Genomic DNA, 9,600 nt, shown 5'->3' with positions numbered 1-9,600 from the left:
CCACATGTCTATCAATTGGGAATTGGTTACATAAGTGTTCATATCTCCAGTAAAATGACTTATTCCCATAATGTATCCTTCTTCCAACTGAAATGGTCTTCCCTTCCTCTCCTTCCTTCGGGAAGCCTTCACAGGATATCTCATATCTTCCTGATTACTCCCTTAGTAGATGCTAAGGTATTCCCCACCATATCAGTTTTCATTCTCTTTTACCACCCTGCAGTGGTAGATCCCAATTAATGACCTCTCTGTATGCATGACCTTTGCCTTGTAACTTTGTAGTTCCCACCCAATTTGAATCTGGGCTTAACCATGTGGCCCGGTTTGGCCAGGAGGTAGGTAGTAAACTTGATACACGAAAGAAAGAAAGAAAAAGAAAGAAGAAAGAAAGAAAGAAGAAAGAAAGAAAGAAGAAAGAAAGAAAGAAAAAGAAAGAAAGAAAGAAAGAAGGAAAGAAAGAGAAAGAAAGAAAGAGAAAGAAAGAGAGAGAGAGAAAGAGAGAGAGAGAAAGGGAGAAAGAGAAAAAGAAAGAAAGAAAGGGAGAGGCCAATTGGGTTTAAAACTCAGAGACCCCTACAAATTGGTGCAACTTAAGGTGGAGGGGCTGTGATATAGGCAGATGAGATTCAGCTGGTGCTGCAAGATTTCTTTCCTGCACTCCTAGAGAACTCAGAGAATGGAAAAGCTATGCTCAGCTGGGAATTTTAACCTGATCAGCTCAAATGTTGTTTAATTACTTTGAAAGTCTGTAGTTAGTGAGCTGGACTCTTTGAGTATCCACCTGCACTTCTCAGAAGAATAGCCTCAGAACAGCAATGGTTGGTTAAGAGGGCCTGAGAAACAGGAATCATCCTGATTTTAACGCCAACGCCATTGACCAAATGAAGTCAGGGCCTGAACTTCCAGGACATCTCTGGGATTCTGCCTCAGGGGCCCAGCAAGGAGTAGTCACTGCTGAAATTACTGTATGACCCTAAGGTCAGGAGCATCTTCTGTTCTTTCTCTTGCCATCAAGGAATCTCTGTCCTGCAGAGGTGGTTTTAGGTTTGATGAGTCACAGAAGCACAGATAACACTAGGCTCACTTCAGACCCATGACTCACCCAGCCCAGGAACTCCTCTAGAAAACCAGCATAGAGAGAGGGTGTTTTGTGAAGCAGCATGGCCTGACATAGACAAGACTTGTCGCTTTGTCCCTTTAGTAGCTTTTAACCCCTTAAAAATTGCTATGGCCAGGTGTAGTAACTCACACCTGTAATCCCAGCACTTTGTGAGGCCAAGGTAAGAGGATCCCTTCAGCCCAGGAGTTTGAGACCAGCCTGGGAAACACAGTGAGACCACATCTCTATTTTTAAAATAATTGTTACAGTCTTTCCTGAATAACCTACTAGAGGTAATAAGTTTCACATGTTGAATGAAGAATGTGAGAATTCTATTCTATGAGTCCAGCTGTGCTTTCTCTGCCCTAAAGCACTCTCCTTTTCATTTCAGAGTGATGTTCCCAGGTGTGTTCTTCTGAGACCATCAGTTATATCCTTCACAATGATAGATCTTGACCATTTCTGCTATTTCTATAATGAAATCTTTTAGTGTTTTGCACTCACTTCTGTACTGAAGCTGCTTCCCCGCCTTGGCCTTTGTGTTCTCCCCAGGATGGGAAAAGCTCCATCTGCTTTTTTCTGCCATCCAAGACCACTTTTCAAGCACGGCTGTGCACCAAGCCCTGTACAAGGTCCCTGGGCTCCCCTGATGAAAGAGGAGAGATTGCAGAAGCTCATGTCTGGCTGTTAAGACAGATACACACATAAAAAAGTCTACACAGAGGGAAGATAAAGTTACATAGAAAGGCCTGAGGGAGATGCAAGGAGGATTCCTGAATGCTCTCAGCGAAAGAAGGTGGGTCAAGGGAGAGCCAAGAGAAGCCAGAGGGAAGGAGCATGAGTAAAGGCACAGAACTCTGCAAGTGCCTGTGTGGCCCCAGTGGGTGCTCGCCCTGCAGCCCTCTCCCTTCCTTGCAGTCAGATCATGGATATGAGACTCAACACTGACCAATGGGACCCAAGGGGAAGTCTATGGGGAGCTCATAGGAGAGCGTTCCTCTCTCTTAAAACAAGATGAATAGGAAGGAAACTGTTCATTTTTACTGGACGCTGTTTTGCCCGCATGTGTGACTTCAACAACTGCAACACTTTTTATAATATGAAGGTGGACAGAGCCAGAAGATGGGAAGCATCTGTGTCCTTAATAGCACTTTTAGCCACTGAACCAACCTTTGATCCTCTCTACCCACCAGACCCCTGATTTGGGAGACAATAAATATCCTAATTGTTCAAGCCACTTTTAAAAATAGACTATTTTTTAGAGAAGTTTTCGGTTCACAGAAAAGTTGAGCAGAAAGTAGAGCGATTTCCCACATACCTTCATCATCACACACGTACAGCCTCCCCCAATATCAACATCCCCCACTGTGGCGGTGCATTTGTTATAATCAATGAACCTACATTGGCACTAATCACCCTACATCCATCATTTACATTAGGCTTCTCTCTTGGTATTGTACATTCTATGGCTTTGGACAAATGCATAAGGACATGTACCCATTATTATGGAGTCATAAAGAGTATTCTCACTGTCCTAAAAATCCTCTATACTCTGTCTATTCATCCCTCCCTCTTCACTAACCCCTGGCAACCACAGATCTTTTTACTGTATCCACAGTTTTGCCTTTTCAAGAATGCCATATAATTGGAATCACACAGTATATAGTCTTTTCAGATTGGCTTTTTTCTCTTAGTAATATGCATTTAAGTTTTCTCCATGCTTTTTCATGGTCAAGCCACTTTTAAATACCATTTTATTAAAGTATGATTGGCATACCACAAACTGTACAAGGTTAGTGTATAATTTGATAAGTTTAAGCTTTTACGCATGTGTGTACCCGTGAAAACATCATCACAATCAAGCTAGTGAACATATCTATCATCCCCTGAAGTTCCTGGTGATCTCTTCCTCTTGCCCCTCCCCACTCCACCCCATCTCCAGCCACCACTCATCTGCTTTCTGTCACTATAGTTTGCATTTTTTAGAATTTTATAAATGGAATCATACAGTGCATCTTTTTTGTAAATTTTTTTTAACGCACTGGTATTATTTTGAGGTTTATCCATGTTGTTGGATATGTCAGTAATTTATTCCTTTTTATTGCTGAGTAGTATTCTTTTGTCTGAATATACTACAATTGTTTTATTCGTAAATCTGTTGATGGCATTTGGGTTATTTCCACTTTGGATCTATTAAAAGTAAACTTGCCATGAACATTTGAATATAAGTCTTTGTATGGGCATATGCTTCCATTCTTTTGAGGGAAACACCTAGGAGTAGAACAGCTGAATCAAATAGTAGCTGTATGCTCAACTTTTAAGAAATGGCCAAAGTTTTCTGAAACAGTGGTACTATTTTATAGTCCCTCCAGCAGTGTGAGAATTGCAGTTGCTTCATGTCTTCACCAACACTTGGTATGGTTAGTCTTTTTCATTTTAGCCACTCTAACAGATGTGTAGTGCCATATTGTTGTAGCTTTAATTTGCATTTGTCAGTGACTAATGATGTAGAGCATCTTTCTGTGTAATTATTTGCCATCCTTGTATCTTCTTTGGTAAAATGTCCATACTGGTCTCTAATTCATTTTTGATACAACTACCACAGTAACAGGATTTCTGTTAAGATTTGTCTTCTTTACAAAAAGTAATGCACATTCATTGCAGAAAAGCATCCTTAACTCTACCATTCAATGATAATTCTCTATCAATTTAATACAATTCAAATATTTTTCTAGTTTGTAATTTGATTTATAGATTTTTTTAATATAGAGGTTTTTAAAAATGCTATAACTCTTTGTCTTTGAAATTATACTTATAAAATTCCCCTCTTTCCACAAGTTTTGTTTGTTTGTTATGTTTTGGGGGGTATCCCATATAAACATTTCATCTATCTAATACATACTTGATAGATTATAAACCAGGGATAACTATAAACAAGGATTACACATAAACTTATAAACTAACTATAAACAACATGTCTTTTTTTTTCTCTTTTTAACCTGGCTTTTTTTCATGCACTGTAATTATCAATAGTTTGTTCCTTTTTATTGCTGAGTAGTATTCCATTGTAAAATATACTACAGTTTATTTATTCATCAATATGTTGATAGACACTTGGGATCTGTATTCCTTTCCTATTGATACTGTAACAAATTGCCAAAAAACAGTTGCTTAAAACAACACAAATTAATTTTCTTGAAGTTCTGGATGTCAAAAGTCTGACATGGGTCTTACAGGGCTAAAATAAAGGTGTCCACAGGGCTGTTTTTCTTTCTGGAGGTCTAGGGAAGAATGTGTGTTCTTGCCTTTTGCAGCTTCTAGAACACCACCCACATTCCTTGGCTAGTGTCCTCTTCTGAGCTTCAAAGCCTGCAATTGTCTCACTCTAACCTCTACTTCCATCACCATTTCTGTTTCTCTGAATATGAGGCCCTGCCCTCCTCTTGTACGAACCCTGGTGATTACCTTGGGCCCACCTAGAACCCAGACCCAGGATAATCTCTCAATCTCAAGATCCTTAATTCAGTCTTATCTGTTTGCTATGCAAAGTAACATGTTTACACATTCTGGGGATTAGGACATGGATCACTTTGGGGGACCATGATTCTGTCTACCACAGGATCTAATATTGCTTTTTGTCCAAATGGTTCAACAGTTGGCCCAATATTATTTATTAAATAATCCATATTTTCTTCACCGATTTGAAATTTCAGCTTTATCATATAAGAAATTCATATAAGATGTATTTTTTTTTCAGAACTTTCTATTCTGTTCCTCTGCTCAGTAGAATCAACTTTTTTTTTTTTTGAGACGGAGTGTCTCTCTGCAGCCCAGGCTAGAGTGCAGTGGTGTGATCTCAGCTCACTGCAATCTCCGCCTCCCATTCAAGCCATTCTCATGTCTCAGCCACCTACGTGGCTGGGATTACAGGCACATGCCACCACGCCCAGCTAATTTTTGTCTTTTTTAGTAGAGATAGGGTTTTGCAAAGTTGCCCAAGCTGGTCTCAAACTCCTGGGCTCAAGCGATCCACCTGCCTCAGCCTCCCAAGGTGCTGGGATTACAGATGTGAGCCCCTGCACCTGGCCTCAGTAGAATCAACTTGCTAATATGCACACCTGGTCCCCATTGCTGTAGTTTTCAGTTCAAACTCCTTCCCATGACTCTTGTGACCTACCTGACCCTCTCCTGCCTCTCTTTTCAGTTTCACTGTCTACCATGCCTGGTGGGCCTGCCACGCTCCCGCCAGGCCTAGGAGTTCAGTGATACAGTGTCCTGTCTAACTTGCATGTGACAAGCTAGTCACTAGGGCTATAGAAGAAACAAGCCACCATCCCTGACTTTGAGGAATTCCCAGTCTGGTGACCTACTCAAATATGTAAAATGAAAGTTTTAGTACAGAGATGTAATATGTAATAGAGGCAGTTTTAGCTCACCCACCAGAGTTACATACTTGTCAACCTTTCCTGATGTTTCCATTATGTTAGCATTCATTAAGAACCACCATGTTATGGCCGGGCGCGGTGGCTCACGCCTGTAATCCCAGCACTTTGGGAGGCCGAGGCGGGCGGATCACGAGGTCAGGAGATCAAAACCATCCTGGCTAACACGGTGAAACCCTGTCTCTACTAAAAATACAAAAAATTAGCCCAGCATGGTGGCGGGCACCTGTAGTCCCAGCTACTCGGGAGGCTGAGGCAGGAGAATGGCGTGAACCCAGGAGGCAGAGCTTGCAGTGAGCCGAGATTGAGCCACTGCACTCCAGCCTGGGCGACAGAGTGAGACTCTGTCTCAAAAAAAAAAAAAAAAAAAACCACCAGGTTATTAATTTCATCAAAAAGTTGTTCAAACATTTATCACATATGTTCAAAACTTGTAGTGTCCTTATCAGCATCTGAATGTCGATAATGATATATCTCACAGTTGTCCTTGGTAAAATTACTGCAGACATCCTGAGCTCACCTTGAAAGGCTGTCTGGTAATTCTTCTCAGGCCACATCAGCTGCCTGTTGGCATCATATCCAGCAACCAGGGTAGGAAATGCTATAATCATTTTTCTAGTCATGATAGACCCTTTTCTCACTATTGAGTGGTGTGTTCTCAAGCAACTCACTTAACTGCTCTGTGTTTCTATTTGTCCACAGCAGTGTTGCAGTGTATAACCAGGTGAGTCATTTCTAGCGTTACAGCTTTATTATACCATAAACCCTATTACTAAACATTATTAAATGTGTGGGTCAGAGTGACATCAAGAGTTGTAGCCTCTTCCAGTGCCCTCTCCTTAAATTCATAAGATGTGATCATTAACCTCATTTGACTCCTGAAAACATGGGCTCTGCACATGGTGGGATAACATCTGAAATGCTTCTTGATCACAGCTACAGAGCAGCGGTGGACCCAATTCCACGGCACGCAGTGGAGGAGGCATCACTGCAGAAAGTTAGGACTCCAGTTTGTAGAAGGGCCCAGACTGAGGCTGGGCAGAGACTCTGCCAACTAACAGGTCAGAGTACTTGGGATCAAGGTTCAAAATGGAAAGTTCAGTTAGATAGAAGATGGAAACTTTACAATAAATGTGTAAGACAAGAAGGGAGTCGGGGAAGTATTTACGTCAAAATTGAAATATAATTTAATATGATATCTTCATAGTATGGAGCCATAAATAGAAATTAGGCAGCTCTTTATATACTGAAATGGAATGATCTCCAAGAAATACTAAGTGTGAAAAAATACTAAGTGGGGAAGAAAAATGAGGAGTAGAATGATGTGTATTGTACACAGCATTTGTATAAAAAAGGTAAAAAAGAATATATAGGCATATTGTTTTTATCTTTCTCTGTTTCCATCTCTGAAAGGATAACCAAGAAACTAATTAACTGTGGTTACCTCTGAGTAGGGACTTGGGGAGCAGAAGGACATAGGTTGAGGAGGGGACTTCTCATTGAATTCCTTTTGGTATATTTTGAATTTTGAATCACATGAACTATTGCCTATTTGAAAAATAAATAACATAAAAACTCCAGCAACAATAATAAAAATTAAAATTAACTACTGTATTAGTCTGTTTTCACACTGCTATAAAGAACTACTCGAGACTGGGTAATTTATAAACAAGAGAGGTTTAATTGGCTCACAGTTCTGCATGGCTGGGGAGGCTCAGGAAACTTAGAATCCTGGCGGAAGGCAAACGGAAAGCAAGGCACGTCTTACATGCGGCAGGACAGAGACACAGCAGGGGAAACTGCCACTTTTAAGCCATCAAGGTCTCGTGAGAACTCCCCCACCATCAGGAGAACAGCATAGGGAAAATAACCCACGATCCAATCACCTCCTACCTGGTCCCTCCCTCCACACCTGGGGATTACAATTTGCGACGAGATTTGGTTGGGGACACAGAGCTAAACCATATCAACTACAAAATTATATTAAAGTTACATAATTAATAAATTGTAAGTATATGTTAATTACTAATTAATAAATATGTATATATTTATATAACTATAGACATCCATAGCTTACTATAATATAGATACTGGAAAAATAAATAATAAAGCAGATGGACTTGCATTTGAAGGCAGTCACTAGCTGGGTGGTCTTGGACAAGCCATTTATTCTCTGTGATGCCTCTGTTTTTTGTTCTGAGCTAAATAATATTTATTATTGTTGCACAGATTAAAGGGGAGAACGGTTAACTGGCCGGCACAGCACACAGTGGCTGTTCCACATGTCAGCCCTGGACCCACTGTCTTGGGAGAAGATGATCCAAGGACCCCAGGGACGCTGGGGCGGAGACGGGTAGAGGCGACAAAGCCTCCTGGGGCGAGGAAAGTGTCCTTAGGACACGCGAGTCTCCCCCTGGGGAAGCAGCGGTTTTGTGACTCTGGCCCGGAAGCCTGGAGAGTTCGTGCTGCTGTGAGGCTGTCTTCATAGCGTATGTTCCTTAGGCCATCAGCAGGATATATGCTGCATTCGCGGAGCCCCAGGCGCCTGCCCCTGCCTAGTCTCCACGGCTGTGGCTGGGCCCGCAGTCTGGAAGCCAGAAGGGGCTCCCTAGCGCCCCCCGCGGCCAGATTTCTCCTCTTCCTTCCAGTAGTCGGGCGGCCGGGGAGGGCCTGGCGGGCCGGGTGTTGGTGGCCTTTCCAGTCACCCTTGCAGTTCCTCATTCTAGAGATGAGAAGGGCTCATGAATCAGTTCATGGGTCATGGAATAGGGAAGTGGCCTCTTCTTCTCCTAGGCTTTTTTTTTTTCTTTTTTTCTTCTGGGTAAAACTGAGGCACCAAAAAGCCTGAGTCACAGGTGCAGGGGCTTAGAGCAGGGATAGGTGCTAAGCTTCTAGGAGCTTCGGCCCCCACCCAGCCCCTGACCCGCAGCCTAGGTCCTTCTTCCTGGGGCCTCACTTTTAAAAATCAAATTCAATAAGGGGGAACAAAAAATGGAAAGAAAGATTTCAATAGAAGATTGAAATAAAACTTGTTTTTTCATCTGGTTTCTGTAGGGTCCCCTCATCCCCCCACACCCCTTCCCTGTGCCCAGTTGTTCATTTGAAACCACAAAATTAGCAGAAAAATTAAAACAATATTACTGTCCTAATTTAATTGTTTCTTCTCTATAGGCATCACAGCTCTCTCAGCCTGGCCTCCTTGAGTACCTTGAAGAGAGCCAGATTTAGAAGAAATATGACTTCAGCTCTCAAGATGGGAAAACATCTAGCCAAGAGGCAGGGATTCTGGAAAATTGCTAATAAATTGTTACTTCCTGCTATTAAAAGGATCGATAAGATAAGGCCAGAAATGACTGATGAGAGGGCTTTGTGCTTCGGGGACTAATGGGGGAAGAGGCGCCTGACAGCTCAGAACAGACTGGCTGGGACAGTGCATGCCTGTTCACCTCCTTCAGCAAAAACTCCAGTAGCTTCATTCATTGCTTTGACGATCAGTAGTTATTGATGGTGGTTATGAATAATTAAATCAATTGGCATGCTGGGGAGCTCAGATATCGGGGAAATTGCATTATATATGTCTGTAGCATTGAAGATGCACCAATGTGCCTCTTCTGTAATTTTTATTTGTGATGCTGTCTTGGGGCAGAACTGGGGTAGGAGGTGTTGGATCCTTGTGGGGCCGAATCGAGACAGGAAGGAACCCAGGCAGACAGCTGGCTCTGCCTCCACCACAGCCTTGCCCAGCTGCCCTGCATGCCTGCCCAGCTCCTGCATTTTGTTCCCTGTCCCTTTGTAGGCAGCCCTGGGGGAGGCAGCATGGTCTTCACAGCCAGAGGCATAGTTGGTGAAGTAGGCTCTTCTGTCGGACTAACTTCTCTTCCAGCCAGCAAGAGCGAGAACCTTCCCAGAACCAAGAGTGAGGCACCATGCATCCAACAGCCTGATCTTTCAGGCACACACATCTCTGTCCCTCTTCTTCCCTTTTTTCTGCTGGTCAAGTTGTACCAGCTGATTCCAGGGTGCCCTAGGAGCCTTGTTAGCTGAAAGTTCTTCTTGTCC

General features: G+C 42.5%; 1 annotated feature.

Annotated features, from left to right (window-relative positions):
• Positions 7,941-8,000: an enhancer, noted in NCBI's record as "active region_27794". NCBI's record gives its function as "activates an Ori minimal core promoter by ATAC-STARR-seq in GM12878 lymphoblastoid cells {active_cell/tissue: GM12878}" and the evidence as "EXISTENCE:reporter gene assay evidence [ECO:0000049][PMID:35858748]".

The sequence above is a fragment of the Homo sapiens genome, chromosome 8 (genome assembly GCF_000001405.40).
Source record: "Homo sapiens chromosome 8, GRCh38.p14 Primary Assembly".
NCBI lineage: Eukaryota > Metazoa > Chordata > Mammalia > Primates > Hominidae > Homo > Homo sapiens.
This window is presented reverse-complemented; position numbering and strand designations above follow the sequence as displayed.